General features: G+C 41.6%; 1 long non-coding RNA gene across 1 annotated transcript; it reads left to right on the top strand.

Moving 5' to 3' along the window:
* Window positions 1-775: 775 nt before the first annotated feature.
* On the top strand, window positions 776-3,931 carry LOC124901472 (uncharacterized). Its single transcript, XR_007059893.1, has 2 exons — window positions 776-899; window positions 1,345-3,931. It is a non-coding gene; the product is annotated as an uncharacterized LOC124901472 (long non-coding RNA).
* Window positions 3,932-17,992: the final 14,061 nt, after the last annotated feature.

Below are 17,992 nucleotides of genomic sequence, written 5' to 3'. Positions count from 1 at the left end.
TTGAGAGTGGCTCCTCGTGCTTTTGAGCACCTTTAGCTTTCTGGAATGTTCCACATGGGGTGTGAGCCATGATGGTGTTGAGAGTGGCTCCTCGTGCTTCCATGCACCTTTAGCTTTCCGGAATGGTCCGTTGGGGGTGCGAGTCATGATGGTGTTGAGAGTGGCTCCTCATGCTTCCATGCAACTTTAGCTTTCTGGAGTGTTCCACGGGGTGCAGAGTGTGTCTTCAAACGTGGACACAGGTGTGCAGGGGTCTCCTTTTGATGCGTAAGGAATAAGGAGACACGGGGTGCTGAGGTGTCCTCTCAGGCCCAGAAGTTAGGCTTCCTAACACCGTGGACCAGGTTTAACCACACATGTGTTTTCCTCACAGTGCTGGAGGCTGGAGGTCCAAGGTCAAGGCTTGGGCAGGTTGGCTTCTCTGGGGCCTCTCTCCTTGGCTTGCAGACAGTACCTCCTCGTGGTGTCCATGTGGGTGCCCCTCTGTGCACATGGACACAGGGTGTCTCTGTGCGTCCTAATATATCCTCTTCTTCTAAGGACGCCCCTGACATGGATTCGGCACCCTCATGGCCTTGTTTTAACTTAATCAACTCTGCAACGACCCTGTCTCCAATTTTTCAAAGAGCTAAAAGTGGAAATACCATTTCACTCAGGAATCCCATGACTCAAAGGAAAATAAATACTTCTATCAAAAAGACACATACACTCACATGTTTATCATGGCACTATTCACAACAGCAAAGACATGGAATCAACCTAGGTGCCCATCAACAGTGGACTGCATAAAGAAAATGTGGTACATAGACACCATGGAATACTACGCAGCCATAAAAAAGAATCAGTTCGTGTTCTTTGCAGTCACATGGATGCAGCTGGAGGCCATTATTCTAAGAGAGGTAAGGCAGGAACAGAAAACCAGATATAGCATGTCCTCGTGCATCAGTGGGAGCTAATAGCTGGGTACGCAGAGGCACAAAGGTGGGAGCAGCAGACACTGGGGACCGCTGTAGAGGAGAGGGTGGGAGGGGGCAATGGCTGAAAAACTTCCTGCTGGGTGCCGTGCTCAGTGCCTGGGTGATGGGATCCATAGCAGCCGAAACCTCAGGGTGATGCAGTATACCCAGGTCACAAACCTGCACCTGCACACCCTGCATCTAAAATTAAAAAGAGAGAAAAAATAAAGACCCCGTCTCCAAACTCAGTCACACTGAGGGATGGGGGTTCAGGACTTGAGCATGAAAATTACAGGGACACAGTTCAGCCCTTCACAGCTCCTGACGCCCGGGCTGGGGCTGCTGCTCTTCCCTGCACTGTGAAGCCCACAGCTGTGTCTTCCCTCAGGGCCTTTCCCAGCTCACCAGGAAGACTTTACTGAGCACCTACTGCCTGCCGGGAACTGGCCTCCACACTGAAAACACCAGGGGGTCTCCGCCCATGGGAGTTGACAGAAGAGCAGATCCCAACAGTCAGAGGCTGCCACATTCTCCCTGCTGGGCTGTTTGTAGGCTGATGTGTTTATCCTCCTGAAAGACAATGGGAGACAGCAAAGGGACTGGGCTTCACCGCAGGGCCTGGGCCATCTTGTGCTTGGCACATGCTTGTTGAAGGAAGGAAGGAGCCTCTTTCTCTCTCTGTCTCTGTCTCTCTCTCTCTCTGTCTGTCTCTCACATGCACACGCCGACACACACTTTCCAAGCTCTGTGTGGTCTCGCTCCGTTGTAATTTGTTTAAGTGGCTCCAACCAGCGACATGTAAGAGATCCAGGACTGCACAGGGCAGTGCAGACGTCACCAGCAATGGCTGAGGCTCCTGAGCGTGCCTCCTGTGCCTGGCGTCCTGGGGATATTCCCACATGTGCCTCCTGTGCCTGGCCTCCTGGTGATGTTCCCGTTGGTGTTGGTCCCGCTGAGCCCCCACAGCCTCCCTGTGCCACAGCCATCCACGTTACCTCCATTGCATTTCAGGAAATGGAGGCTCATGCAGGTTTGGTAACATGTCCAGGTTTCCAAACTGGAAGGTGCCTGCTGGAGTGGGGACCTGGGAAACCTCCTGTCCCCGTCACTGTATGACCACCAGCTGGTCAGCAGGCAGCTTCCCTGAACAGGAGGCTGGGTGTGCCTGACCCCATGGCGGGGGCGATGCCCACACCTGTGGGACTGATCGAGACCCACGGCTGTGATGACTGTGGGTATGTGTGTTACTTCCCAAAAGATTTCCCCATTTGTTATATTTCCTCAAAGGCAAAATAACACACTGTTTTACTGAGGAAAATCCATCTTGCTAATGACTGAAACCTGCTAGAAGTGGAGTAGGGTGGTGGTGTTTTTCTGTTGTGAAGGGCTTGGCAGGGCGTGGCTGTTTATGCACCTGTGTTTCCAGACAGCGTTCATTTCCACCCGCTGGGATGTTGGGCCTCCAGGCTGTGTTCGCAGCTACGCGTTGACATCCTCGCAGCTGCCTGATGGATAGAGACTATTCAGCATGAACTTGAAAAGACATTTGTTCTGGGGAAAATTCTTGTTGACTTGGCCACAGCACTTCCACTCCCCCACTACCCCACCCCCCACAGAAATTCCTTCCCTGCCCCTCTTCTTCCTGATTATTGGATTCATTTTCCTAGGAGGTAAAATCGTGAAATGAACTCAACATTTTCAAATCCCAGTAAAGAAATCAACCAAGAGGCGAGAGGACAAGATGCTTGGGCTAAATAAAACGTGACCTTTCTGGCGCCTCTGAGTTTGACTTCCAGGTCAGAGCTCTGCAAATGCACCATTGAAAGTGTAATGATTTGGAATCCACCAAAGACAATTTTCCTACAGCAAATGTAGTTTTCTTTTGAAAGGATCCATTTACACTCATGCTGGCGTTCGCTGGTGTTTTTGGTCTTGCTCCATCGAGCTTCTGAAACCTGTGGTGCCGTTGGCCAAGCCGCTGGAAATGCACACACGTCCAGAGATGTTGGAAATGCACGCACGTCCAGAGATGTCCTGAAGGAAAATGCTCACAGGTGATCTTCAATGCAGGTGTGGCTGTGCGGTGCTGAGTCCGACTTCCACAACTGCTCCATTGATTCCGTCCTTTGTGTTGTCAAACTTCTTAGTATTTGCCAATCACATGTATCCTTGAGTGTGTTTATGGTTGTGAAACACTGTATTGCTAGCATCATCCATCATCCAACCAGGCCTTTTTTAGCCAATCCTGGAGAAATTGCCTCCAATTTTCTTGTCCCTATGCTACTCAGCCCTCTTATTTCATTCCAGTTGGTGCATAAAGTTACCTATTTGTCCAAAATTTTATTTTTTACAGACCATAATGACTTGAGAATTAAAATTTGCTCACCCAAATACAGCCATTGTTATTCCGTCACTGGGGATGTAATATTTCAGCCCCCAGTTTTCTCCTCAGAGAACTGAATAATCGCATCCATGGTTTACTTTTAATAAACCGAGTCCCAGAGCTCATTACACCCTTGGCTTGAGGGACGGACGCTTGTGAGCATAACACATGGCAGGCATGTCATTAGCCAAGTTGTATTTTTACTTTTCGCTGTGGAAGTAATAACCAACAAGGAAAAAGTTATCTTATTATAACCTTATAACCAATTTTTGAGATTTCATTTTGTGTTTTATAATGTATCATGCCATGTAATCGTGGTGTTTTAAATTTTCAAGTGTTATGCCTCTGGTTCACAATACTTTTTAAACAATTATCCCTGATATCATTCTAATAACTCCTCAGAATTGTCTTTGTTTGCTATGATGTTCCCTAGTTGTATTTGATTGAAAACAAATACTTTGAAATCCAAGTACTTTACCAGAGAAAGGTCCTGATCTATTTATTTCTTCTCCTGACTCTAGCTACAATCAAATTGTAGATAGGTAGGGAAATTGTTTTTAAGTAACATGAAATAAACGATCATTTAACACCAGTACCAGCAACAGTAATAGTTTATTCTTCAGGGGTCTCAAAGATGCTATGTCTTCATAATGCCTTATATTGAATAGGTGATCTATTACATTAGTGTAACAGAACATTAGCACAGGGATTCCTTCTGGAAGTCTCTGGAGATATGAGAGACAAAAACAGGTTTGAAGGTGGGTCAGGGTCGGAGCTCCAGCTTTTCCAGGGGTTTAGCCTGACCATGACCAAGGACACAGGCCTCCAACTTCTCACAGGTAGTGCAATTTCCTATCCTTGCTGTGAATTAAGTATTCCAAACTCCATGCCAATAACCAAATTATCAAATTCTGACACAATATTTGTGAAATAGGTTTATTCTCTGCAAATGCGAAGAGAGACAGAAGAGATACAAAGAGTCTGTTCACGAATACCAAAGCCATTACTGAGCACCCTGCACAAGACAGTGACACATGTGGGCTCCTCTGGGCCCTGGTTCCACCCACAAATGGTACTTGGACGCCTGCCCCGGGCCAAGCCCCACGTGAGACAGAGCTCTAGAGGCGACTGGGTCACGGTCGCCCTCACTTAAAGGGTTTTGTAGTTGAGTGTATAAGTTAACTTAGGGACAGTAACTTTTGGAGATGTTACACAGAAACAGTGATTGAGAGAGTGACACCCAATGGCAAAATTCGACATCTTTTGCTTGCCTCTTATGAATTGGGCAGGCTTCAAGCTCATTAACCTTTCTTAGCCTCACTCTCCTCATCTGTAAAATAAACGTAATAGGAATACACTCCTAAGGCAGTTGTGAAGCCCACAGGTACACTCACACATGAGCTCAGCGTGGTACCATCAGCACATGGCACTGCTGTTGTTTTTGCATCAAGAATAAATTAGCAGGAATCATTATCATAACAGTCAATCAGATTGAGAATGCTATATAAAAAGACTCAGGAAATTTATGATAGAAATAAGAAAGTAAGACGCAAGCTAAAGATGTAGAATTATAAAATATATTTGATAAAACCAACTACTGTTTTCTTTTTATATATTCCATCCATTATATATTACACACACACACACACACACAAAATTGCAGTATGGGGGATACATCTGTGTTAGCTGTTCCCTTAAACTTTTATAACTGGTTTCCTCCAATTCATGTTGTGTAATATAGACACAATTGTCCTTAGAATTTATCTGAGTGTTTATAAAAAATCTCCAAAGTTACAAGGTTGCATAATGAAGCAAATAAAGTAATAACTCAAAAACATTCAATAATAAACTCATCACTTGGAAAATCAAGGCCTCTCCTAAATGTTCTTTTTCATTGAACATTACCTTTGCCCCACTTACTGATCCAATTCGAATAAGACATAAATAGCAGGGAAGGGAAATCTCTTCATGAGATGGAGAGATTCGTAAAGTCTAGGGAAGTTACACTGGGGGACTGTTAAAATCAAAGGCAAATGCTGACAAGTAAGAAAAAGTTAGTTTGATAGTTACCTGAAAAAGGAGCAAAATAAGAGCTAAGTAACTAAGGGTGACAACACCCTAAGACCTTCAAACCACAGTTAGCCTTTTGAGTCATGGATTATTTATAAATTATTGTGAAATATACAAGGGCATTTTTGGATAATTTACTATTTATGATTACTAGATAAATTCCATCGTGGTCAGAGATCATACTGGGTAGTACAAAATTTATTGAGACATATTTTTAAGTTTATTGAGACATATTTTATGGCCCAGCATATGGGATATCTTGGCAAATATTTCATGTATACTTTTTTTGTTTTTTTTATTTTTTATTTTTTTTAAATTATACTTTAAGTTTTAGGGTATGTGTGCACAACATGCAGGTTTGTTACATATGTATACATGTGCCATGTTGGTGTCTGCACCCATTAACTCGTCATTTAACATTAGGTATATCTCCTAATGCTATCCCTCCCCCCTCCCCCCACCCCACAACAGGCTCCTGTGTGTGATGTTCCCCTTCCTGTGTCCATGTGTTCTGATTGTTCAGTTCCCACCTATGAGTGAGAACATGTGGTGTTTGGTTTTTTGTCCTTGCGATAGTTTGCTGAGAATGATGGTTTCCAGCTTCATCCATGTCCCTACAAAGGACGTGAACTCATCCTTTTTTATGGCTGCATAGTATTCCATGGTGTATATATGCCACATTTTCTTAATCCAGTCTATCATTGTTGGACATTTGGGTTGGTTCCAAGTCTTTGCTATTGTGAATAGTGCCGCGATAAACATACGTGTGCATGTGTCTTTAGAGCAGCATGATTTAGAATCCTTTGGGTATATACCCAGTAACGGGATGGCTGGGTCAAATGGTATTTCCCATTCTAGATCCCTGAGGAATCGCCACACTGACATCCACAATGGTTGAACTAGTTTACAGTCCCACCAACAGTGTAAAAGTGTTCCTATTTCTCCACATCCTCTCCAGCACCTGTTGTTTCCTGACTTTTTAATGATCGCCATTCTAACTGGTGTGAGATGGTATCTCATTGTGGTTTCAATTTGCATTTCTCTGATGGCCAGTGATGATGAGCATTTTTTCATGTGTCTTTTGGCTGCATAAATATCTTCTTTTGAGAAGTGTCTGTTCATATCCTTTGCCCACTTTTTGATGGGGTTGTTTGTTTTTTTCTTGTAAATTTGTTTGAGTTCATTGTAGATTCTGGATATTAGCCCTTTGTCAGATGAGTAGATTGCAAAAATTTTCTCCCATTCTGTAGGTTGCCTGTTCACTCTGATGGTAGTTGCTTTTGCTGTGCAGAAGCTCTTTAGTTTAATTAGATCCCATTTGTCAATATTGGCTTTTGTTGCTGTTGCTTTTGGTGCTTTAGATATGAAGTCCTTGCCCATGCCTATGTCCTGAATGATATTGCCTAGGTTTTCTTCTAGGGTTTTTATGGTTTTAGGTCTAACATGTAAGTCTTTAATCCATCTTGAATTAATTTTTGTATAAGGTGTAAGGAAGGGATCCAGTTTCAGCTTTCTACACATGGCTAGCCAGTTTTCCCAGCACCATTTATTAACTAGGGAATCGTTTCCCCATTGCTTGTTTTTGTCAGGTTTGTCAAAGATCACATGGTTGTAGATATGTGGCATTATTTCTGAGGGCTCTGTTCTGTTCCCTTGATCTATACCTCTGTTCTGGTACCAGTACCATGCTATTTTGGTTACTGTAGCCTTGTAGTATACTTTGAAGTCAGGTAGCATGATGCCTCCAGCTTTGTTCTTTTGGCTTAGGATTGACTTGGCAATGTGGGCTCCTTTTTGGTTCCATATGAACTTTAAAGTAGTTTTTTCCAATTCTGTGAAGAAAGTCATTGGTAGCTTGATGGGGATGGCATTGAATCTATAAATTACATTGGGCAGTATGGCCATTTTCATGATATTGATTCTTCCTACCCATGAGCATGGAATGTTCTTCCATTTGTTTGTATCCTCTTTTATTTCATTGAGCAGTGGTTTGTAATTCTCCTTGAAGAGGTCCTTCACGTCCCTTGTAAGTTGGATTCCTAGGTATTTTATTCTCTTTGAAGCAATTGTGAATGGGAGTTCACTCATGATTTGGCTCTCTGTTTCTCTGTTATTGGTGTATAAGAATGCTTGTGATTTTTGCACATTGATTTTGTATCCTGAGACTTTGCTGAAGTTGCCTATCAGCTTAAGGAGATTTTGTGCTGAGACGATGGGGTTTTCTAGATATACAATCATGTCATCTGCAAACAGGGACAATTTGACTTCCTCTTTTCCTACTTGAATACCCTTTATTTCCTTCTCCTGCCTGATTGCCCTGGCCAGAACTTCCAACACTATGTTGAATAGGAGTGGTGAAAGAGGGCATCCCTGTCTTGTGCCAGTTTTCAAAGGGAATGCTTCCAGTTTTTGCCCATTCAGTATGATATTGGCTGTGGGTTTGTCATGGATAGCTCTTATTATTTTGAGATACATCCCATCAATACCTAATTTATTGAGAGTTTTTAGCATGAAGGGTTGTTGAATTTTGTCAAAGGCCTTTTCTGCATCTATTGAGATAATCATGTGGTTTTTGTCTTTGGTTCTGTTTATATGCTGGATTACATTTATTGATTTGCGTATATTGAACCAGCCTTGCATCCCAGGGATTAAGCCGACTTGATCATGGTGGATAAGCTTTTTGATGTGCTGCTGGATTCAGTTTGCCAGTATTTTATTGAGGATTTTTGCATCGATGTTCATCAGGGATATTGGTCTAAAATTCTCTTTTTTGGTTGTGTCTCTGCCAGGCTTTGGGATCAGGATGATGCTGGCCTCATAAAATGAGTTAGGGAGGATTCCCTCTTTTTCTATTGACTGGAGTAGTTTCAGAAGGAATGGTACCAGCTCCTCCTTGTACCTCTGGTAGAATTTGGCTGTGAATCCATCTGGTCCTGGACTTTTTTTGGTTGGTAAGCTATTAATTATTGCCTCAGTTTCAGAGCCTGTTATTGGTCTATTCAGAGATTCAACTTCTTCCTGGTTTAGTCTTGGGAGGGTGTATGTGTCTAGGAATTTATCCATTTCTTCTAGATTTTCCAGTTTATTTGCATAGAGGTGTTTATAGTATTCTCTGATGGTAGTTTGTATTTCTGTGGGATCAGTGGTGATCTCCCCTTTATCATTTTTTATTGCGTCTATTTGATTCTTCTCTCTTTTCTTCTTTATTAGTCTTGCTAGTGGTCTATCAATTTTGTTGATCTTTTCAAAAAACCAGCTCCTGGATTCACTGATTTTTTTGAAGGGTTTTTTGGTGTCTCTATTTCCTTCAGTTCTGCTCTGATCTTAGTTATTTCTTGCCTTCTGGTAGCTTTTGAATGTGTTTGCTCTTGCTTCTCTAGTTCTTTTAATTGTGATGTTAGGGTGTCAATTTTAGATCTTTCCTGCTTTCTCTTGTGGGCATTTAGTGCTATAAATTTCCCTCTACACACTGCTTTGAATGTGTCCCAGAGATTCTGGTATGTTGTGTCTTTGTTCTCTTTGGTTTCAAAGAACATCTTTATTTCTGCCTTCATTTCGTTATGTAGTCAGTAGTCATTCAGGAGCAGTTGTTCAGTTTCCATGTAGTTGAGTGGTTTTGAGTGAGTTTCTTAATCCTGAGTTCTAGTTTGATTGCACTGTGGTCTGAGAGGCAGTTTGTTTTAATTTCTGTTCTTTTACATTTGCTGAGGAGTGCTTTACATCCAGCTATGTGGTCAATTTTGGAATAAGTGTGGTGTGGTTCTGAGAAGAATGTACATTCTGTTGATTTGGGGTGGAGAGTTCTGTAGATGTCTATTAGGTCTGCTTGGTGCAGAGCTGAGTTCAATTCCTGGATATCCTTGTTAACTTTCTGTCTCGTTGATCTATCTAATGTTTACAGTGGGGTGTTAAAGTCTCCCATTATTATTGTGTGGGAGTCTAAGTCTCTTTGTAGGTCTCTAAGAACTTGCTTTATGAATCTGGGTGCTCATGTACTGGGTGCATATATATTTAGGATAGTTAGCTTTTCTTGTTGAATTGATCCCTTTACCATTATGTAATGGCCTTCTTTGTCTCTTTTGATCTTTGTTGGTTTAAAGTCTGTTTTATCAGAGACTAGGATTGCAACCCCTGCCTTTTTTTGTTTTCCATTTGCTTGGTAGATCTTCCTCCATCCCTTTATTTTGAGCCTATGTGTGTCTGTGCACGTGAGATGGGTTTCCTGAATACAGCACACTGATGGGTCTTGACTCTTTATCCAATTTGCCAGTCTGTGTCTTTTAATTGGAGCATTTAGCCCATTTACATTTAAGGTTAATATTGTTATGTGTGAATTTGATCCTGTCATTATGATGTTAGCTGGTTATTCTGCTCATTAGTTGATGCAGTTTCTTCCTAGCCTCAATGGTCTTTACAATTTGGCATGTTTTTGCAGTGGCTGGTATCAGTTGTTCCTTTCCATATTTAGTGCTTCCTTCAGGAGCTCTTTTAGGGCAGGCCTGGTGGTGACAAAATCTCTCAGCATTTGCTTGTCTGTAAAGGATTTTATTTCTCCTTCACTTATGAAGCTTAGTTTGGCTGGATATGAAATTCTGGGTTGAAAATTCTTTTCTTTAAGAATGTTGAATATTGGCCCCCGCTCTCTTCTGGCTTGTAGAGTTTCTGCCGAGAGATCAGCTGTTAGTCTGTTGGGCTTCCCTTTGTGGGTAACCCGACCTTTCTCTCTGGCTGCCCTTAACATTTTTTCCTTCATTTCAACTTTGGTGAATCTGACAATTATGTGTCTTGGAGTTGCTCTTCTCGAGGAGTATCTTTGTGGCATTCTCTGTATTTCCTGAATTTGAATGTTGGCCTGCCTTGCTAGATGGGGGAAGTTCTCCTGTATGATATCCTGAAGAGTGTTTTCCAGCTTGGTTCCATTCTCCCTGTCACTTTCAGGTACACCAATCAGACGTAGATTTGGTCTTTTCATGTAGTCCCATATTTCTTGGAGGCTTTGTTCATTTCTTTTTATTCTTTTTTCTCTAAACTTCTCTTTTCACTGCATTTCATTCATTTGATCTTCCATCACTGATCCCCTTTCTTCCAGTTGATCGAATCGGCTACTGAGGCTTGTGCATTCATCACGTAGTTCTCGTGCCTTGGTTTTCAGCTCCATCAGGTCCTTTAAGGACTTCTCTGCATGGTTATTCCAGTTAGCCATTCGTCTAATTTTTTTTCAAGGTTTTTTTCACAAATACTTGAAAAGAATGTGTGTTTCATATTTGTTGAGTGATGTCTTCTATAATGTTAATTAAGTAAAATGTATTTATACTGCTGTTCAAATTGTTCATATTCTCACTATTTTTTTTCTATTTGCTTTATTATTAAGAGCTTAAATTATTCTTGTGAAATTGTCTAATTCTCCCTTTAATTCAATCATTATTTTGCTTCATGCATTTTGAAGCTCTGTATCTTCCTAATAAATTGATCATTTTGTTATTTTGGAGTTCTGCTTCTTATTCCTGATAATCTTTATTGTCTTGGAGCAGCACCGCTTAATATCCTGCTTGTCTGATATTACCGGGTATGCCACATCTTTTCCTACCGTTTATCTTTTGTTGGCTTGTGATTTTAAAAAGTCTGAAAATCTCTGTCTTTTATTGCAGTGCTTATTATATTTATATTTAACTGCTGATGTGGTTGAATTTGAGTCTACCATCATATTATTTATGTTTTATGTGTCCCAGCTACTTTTAATATGATCATTTTTTCTGCCGTCTTTTAGTTAACTGTATATTCTAGGTATACAGTTTGGTTTCCCCATGAGATTTTTGGATCTACCTGATTGCATTTAATTATTTTAGCAGTCACCCTACAGATTGCAAAGTAGATCTTTAGTTGATCCCATTCTAATTAAAGTTAGTATTGTAATACTTTTTGTAATGTGTAATAACCTTAAAATATTTTAATTCCATTTACTCACTGTTCTGCATATGACTATTTTTATATTTTACTTCTGTATAAGTAGTAGAGATATGGCAAATCAGGATTAAAATCTAAGAGTCAGCATTAGTCAGGATTGAAATCCGAGGTGCTTCACTCCAAACCACATGCTCTCTAACACTCTCCTATAGTACCTCCAAATTATTTCATGGGTTGCCATGTAGATATCTTAGTTGTCTTTCATATCGCTTGAGGTAAATTTTAAAGAAGGCTTTCTGAGTTAAATTAATCTCATCTGCATAATAAGGAATGTCTTTCTATTACTTAGATTTGAATAATCATCTCTTGTCTGCCTCACCCCATAACATCTTAAACTCTATCAGGGAAATAATTCCATCTATTTTATTCACAGTTGTCTCTCTCACAACTCAAGTGGAGCCTGAGGAATAACAAGAGCTCATTAAATATCTGTTGCATGAATGAGTGAATAAATGAAGGGAGGACTTTTATGAAAACACTTCTTTACATCTGGAAATGTTACCCCCACGTTTTCTGGCATCTGATGTTGCTGCAAATGTGAAGCCAAGGAGACCCTCCAGGATGCCCAAGCCTGGGAGAAATCCTGATGACTGGGGGTTGGAAAAGAAGCATGACACATAAGAAATGTTAGTTCTCTATTCTTATCATTGATTATCAGAGTAGATTAACCATAAAACTAACAATGCTGAAACTTGAGGACCTTCCCCAGAACTGCTGGGCCTCCAGCAGCATGATGCATAGGTTTTTGTGAAATTTTCAAAAGATTTTTAACTGCAATCAGCAAAAACGATTGTCTCTCTCAGTCCAACTTCCCAGCAGTCAAATTTCCCACAGTGGCAAATGATGTCAGAATTGCTACAGCATCTTTTGAGTCTGTCTAAGGGGAAGTAGAGCCATGGGTGCATTTGGTTCAGAGTTAGTGGAGTACGTGTATATGGTCATAGTCACTTCTGTGTTCTGATAGTGAAATGGTTTTGAAAACTACTCCAATAACCCACTCTGCTGACTTACCCAGCATCTTGGTGTTGCAGGAAATCAGGGACCCCGAATGGAGGGACTGGCTGGAGCCGCGGCAGAGGAACATAAATTGTGAAGATTTCATTTTAATATGGACATTTATCAGTTCCCAAATAATACTTTTATAATTTCTTATGCCTGTCTTTACTTCAGTCTATTAATCCTGTTATCTTTGTAAGCTGAGGATGTAGGTCACCTCAGGACCACTGTGATAATTGTGTTACCTGTACAAATTGATTATAAAACATGTGTGTTTGAACAATATGAAATCAGTGCACCTTGAAAAAGAACAGAATAACAGCGATTTTTAGGGAACAGAGGAAGACAACCATAAGGTCTGACTGCCTGCGGGGTTGGGCAAAAATAGCCATATTTTTCTCCTTGCAGAGAGCCCATAAATGGATGTGCAAGCAGGAGAGATATTGCTAAATTCTTTTCCTAACAAGGAATATTAATATTAATACCCTGGGAAAGGAATGCATTCCTGTGGGGAGGTCTATAAATGGCTGCTCTGGGAAATATCTGTCTTGTGCAGTTGAGATAAGGACTGAGATATGCCCTGGTCTCCTGCAGAACCCTCAGGCTTACTAGGGTGGGGAAAAACTCAGCCCTAGTAAATTTGTGGTCAGACTGGTTCTCTGCTCTCGAAACCTGTTTTCTGTTGTTTAAGATGTTTATCAAGACAATATGTGCACCGCTGAACATAGACCCTTATCAGTGGTTCTGCTTTTGCCCTTTCCCTTGTGATCTTTGTTGGACCCTTATCAGTAGTTCTGCTTTTGCCCTTTGCCTTACGATCTTTGTTGGATCCTTATCAGTAATTCTGCTTTTGCCCTTTGTCCTGTTCCCTCAGAAGCATGTGATCTTCGTTAGACCCTTATTAGTAGTTCTGCTTTTTGCCCTTTGAAGCATGTGATCTTTGTACCTACTCCCTGTTCTTACACCCCTCCCCTTTTGAAACCCTTCATAAAAACTTGCTGGTTTGAGGCTCAGGTGGGCATCATGGTCCTACCGATATGTGATGTCACCCCCGGCAGCCCAGCTGTAAAATTCCTCTCTTTGTACGGTCTGTCTTTATTTCTCAGCCCACTAACACTTATGGAAAATAGAAAGAACCTATGTTGAAATATTGGGGGCTGGGTTCCCCCAATATCATGGTACAAAGTTGCATGACCTTATGGTCATTTATGAAGAAATAAGAAAACAAAATGTAGCCAAAAACTGAAGTTAAAGTATTATAAAGGTGTGCTGTGCACTTTAACAATTTTTAAAAATGCTATTTTCTTGAATTTTGTGATGCCTGTGGTAACTATCATATTTAAAATATTTAATTTATCATAAATTATTTTCTTACTCTAAATAAATGTTCTCAACTCTTTATAATTTTATGCATGCAATTTTCATAGAGAGTTCTCCAAGTTGTACAACATTTAAGCCCGCAAAACCTGGGATCTCACTTCTGTTAAAAATTATAAAAATTGAGGTGGCTGGCAAGATGGCTGTATAGGAAGAGCTCCAGTCTGCAGCTCCCAGTAACATCAATGCAGAAGGCAGGCAATTTCTGCATTTCCAACTGAGGTACCTGGCTTATCTCACTGGGGCTAGTTAGACAGTGGGTACAGCCCACGGAGGGTGAGCTGAAGGAGGGTGGGGTGTCGCTTCACCCGGGAAATGCAAGGAGTCGGGGAACTCCCTCCCTTAGCCAAGGGAAGCGGTAAGGGACTGTGCCATGAGGAATGGTGCATTCCAGCCCAGATACTATGCTTTTCCCACGGTCTTCACAATCTGCAGACTAGGAGACTCCCTCATGTGTCTACACCACCAACGTCCTGGGTTTCAAGCACAAAACTGAGCGGCTGTTTGGGGAGACACTGAGCTAGCTGCAAGAATTTTTTTTCATACCCCAGTGGCTCCTGGAAAGCCAGCAAGACAGAACCATTTGCTCCCCTGGAATGGGCGCTGAAGCCACGGAGCCAAGTGGTCTAGCTCAGCAGATCCCACCCCCACAGAGCCCAGCAAGCTAAGATCTACTAGCTTGAAATTCTCCCTGCCAACACAGCTGTCTGAAGTTGACCTGGGACTCTTGAGCTTCTTGGGGGGAGCGGCGTCTGCCATTACTGAGGCTTGAGGAGGCAGTTTTTCCCTCATGGTGTAAACAACGCTGCTAAGAAGTTTGAGTTGGGCAGAGCCCACTGCAGCTCAGGAAAGCCGCTGTAGCCAGACTGCCTCTCTAGATTCCTCCTCTCTGGGCAGGGCATCTCTGAAAGAAAGGCAGCAGCCCCAGTCAGGGGCTTATCTGGGACAGAGCACCTGGGGGAAGGGGCAGCTCTGGGCACAGCTTCAGCAGACTTAACCATTCCTGTCTGCCAGCTCTGAAGACAGCAGCGGATCTCTAAGCACAGCGCTCGAGCTCTGCTAAGGGACAGGCTGCCTCCTTAGGTGAGTCCCTGACCCCTGTGCCTCCTGACTGGGAGACACCTCCCAGCAGGGCTCAACAGACACCTCATACAGGAGAGCTCCAGCTGGCATTTGGTGGGTGTCCTGCTGGGACAAAGCTTCCAGAGGAAGGAACAGGCAGCAATCTTTGCTCTTCTGCAACCTCCGCTGGTGATACCCAGGCAAAAAACAGGGTCTGGAGTGGACCTCCATCAAACTCCAGCAGACCTGCAGTAGAGGGGCCTGACTGTGAGAAGGAAAACTAATAAACAGAAAAGAATTGCATTGACATCAACAAAAAGGGCGTCCACACAAAAACCCCATCTGAAGGTAACCAACATCAAAGACCAAAGGTAGATAAATACACAAAGATGAGGAAAAGCCAGTGCAAAAAGGCTGAAAATTCCAAAAACCAGGACACCTCTTCTCCTCCAAAGGATCACACCTCCTTGTCGGCAAAGGAACAAAACTGGACAGAGAATGAGTTTGACAAACTGATAGAAGTAGGCTTCAGAAGGTGGGTAATAACAAACTCCTCTGAGCTAAAGGAGCATGTTCTAACCCAATGAAAGGAAGCCAAAAACCTTGAAAAAAGAGGAATTGCTAACTAGAATAACCAGTTTAGAGAAGAACATAAATGACCTGATGGAGCTGAAAAACACAGCCCAAGAACTTCATGAAGCATACACAAGTATCAATAGCTGAATCGATCTAGCAAAAGAAAGGATATCAGAGATTGAAGATCAACTTAATGAAATAAGGTGTGAAGACAAGATTAGAGAAAAAAGAATAAAAAGGAATGAACAAAGCCTCTAAGAAATATGGGACTATGTGAAAAGACCAAACCTACGTTTGATTGGTATACCAGAAAGTGATGGGGAGAATGGAACCAAGTTGGAAAACACTCTTCAGGATATTATCTAGGAGAACTTCCCCAGCCTAGCAAGACAGGCCCACATTCAAGTTCAGGAAATACAGAGAACACCACAAAGATACTCCTTGAGAAGAGCAACCCCAAGACACATAATCGTCTGATTCACCAAGGTTGAAATGAAGGAGAAAAATGTTAAGGGCAGCCAGAGAGAAAGATCAGGTTACCCACAAAGGGAAGCCCATCAGACTAACAGCAGATCTCTCTGCAGAAACCCTACAATCCAGAAGAGAGTGGGGGCCAATATTCAACATTCTTAAAGAAAAGAATTTTCAACCCAGAATTTCATATCCAGCCAAACTAAGCTTCATAAGTGAAGGAGAAATGAAATCCTTTATATACAAGCAATTCCTGAGAGATTTTGTCCCCACCAGGCCTGCCTTACAAGAGCTCCTGAAGAAAGCACTAAATATGGAAAGGAAAAAACAGTACCAGGCACTGCAAAAATATACCAAATTGTAAAGACCATCAACACTATGAAGAAACTGCATCAACTAATGGGCAAAATAACCAGCTAGCATCATAATGACAGGATCAAATTCACACATAACAATATTAACCTTAAATGTAAATGGGCTGAATGCCCCAATTAAAAGACACAGACTGGCAAATTGGATAAAGAGTCAAGACCCATCAGTGTGCTGGATTCAGGAGACCCATCTCATGGGCAAAGACACACATAGGCTCAAAATGAAGGTGTGGAGGAATATTTACCAAGCAAATGGAAAGCAAAAAAAGCAGGGGTTGTAATCCTAGTCTCTGATAAAACAGACTTTAAACCAACAAAGATCAAAAAAGACAAAGAAGGGCATTATATATTGGTAAAGGGATCAATGCAACATGAAGAGCTAACTATAATAAATATATATGCATCCAATACATGAGCACCCAGATTCATAAAGCAAGTTCTTAGAGACCTACAAAGAGACTTAGATTCCCACACAATAATACTGGGAGACTTTAACACCCTACTGTCAATATTAGACAGATCAACAAGACAGAAAATTAACAAAGATATTTAGGAAGTGAACTCAGCTCTGGACCAAGTGGACCTAATAGACATCTACATAACTCTCCACCCCAAATCAACAGATATACATTCTTCTGAGCACCACATTTCACTTATTCTAAAATTGACCACATAATTGGAAGTAAAACACTCCTCAGCAAATGCAAAATAATGGAAATCATAACAAACATTGCCTCAGACCACAGTGCAATCAAATTAGAACTCAGGATTAAGAAACTCACTCAAAACCACACAACTACATGGAAACTAAACAACTTGCTCATGAATGACTACTGGGTAAATAACGAAATAAGGGCAGAAATAAAGAAGATCTTTGAAACAAAGACACAATGTACCAGAATCTGTGGGACACAGTTAAAGCAGTGTTTAGAGGGAAATTTATAGCACTAAATGCCCACAAGGGAAAGTGAGAAAGATATAAAATCGACACCCTAACATCACAATTAAAACAACTATAGAAGTTAGAGCAAACAAATTCAAAAGCTAGCAGAAGACAAGAAATAACTAAGATCAGAGCAGAACTGAAGGAGATAGAGACATGAAAAACCCTTCAAAAAAATCAATGAATCGAGGAGCTGGTTTTTTGAAAAGATTAACAAAATAGATAGAACGCTAGCCAGACTAATAAGGAAGAAGGGAGAGAAGACTCAAATTGACACAATAAAAAATGATAAAGGGGAGATCACCACTGATCCCACAGAAATACAAACTACCATCAGAGAATACTATAAACACCTCTATGCAAATAAACTGGAAAATCTAGAAGAAATGGATAAATTCCTGGATACATACACCCTCCCAAGACTAAACCAGGAAGAAGTCGAATCCCTGAATAGATGAATAACAAGTTCTGAAATTGAGGCAGTAATTAATAGCCTACCAACCCAAAAAAGCCCAGGACCAGATGGATTCACAGCTGAATTCTACCAGAGGTACAAAGAGGAGCTGGTACCATTCCTTCCAAAACTATTCCAAAAAATAGAAAAAGAGGGAACCATAGCTAACGCATTTTATGAGGCCAGCATCATCCTGATACCAAAAACCTGGCAAAGACACAACAAAAAAAGAAAATTTCAGGCCAATATCCCTGATGAACATTGACGTAAAAATCCCTGATAAAATACTGGCAAACCAAATCCAGCAGCACATCAAAAAGCTTATCCACCATGATCAAGTTGGCTTCATCCCTGGGATGCAAGGCTGGT

This window comes from Homo sapiens, chromosome 6, assembly GCF_000001405.40.
Source record: "Homo sapiens chromosome 6, GRCh38.p14 Primary Assembly".
Lineage (NCBI taxonomy): Eukaryota > Metazoa > Chordata > Mammalia > Primates > Hominidae > Homo > Homo sapiens.
The sequence above is the reverse complement of the archived record's forward strand: the minus strand, read 5'-3'. Positions and strand labels throughout refer to the sequence as shown.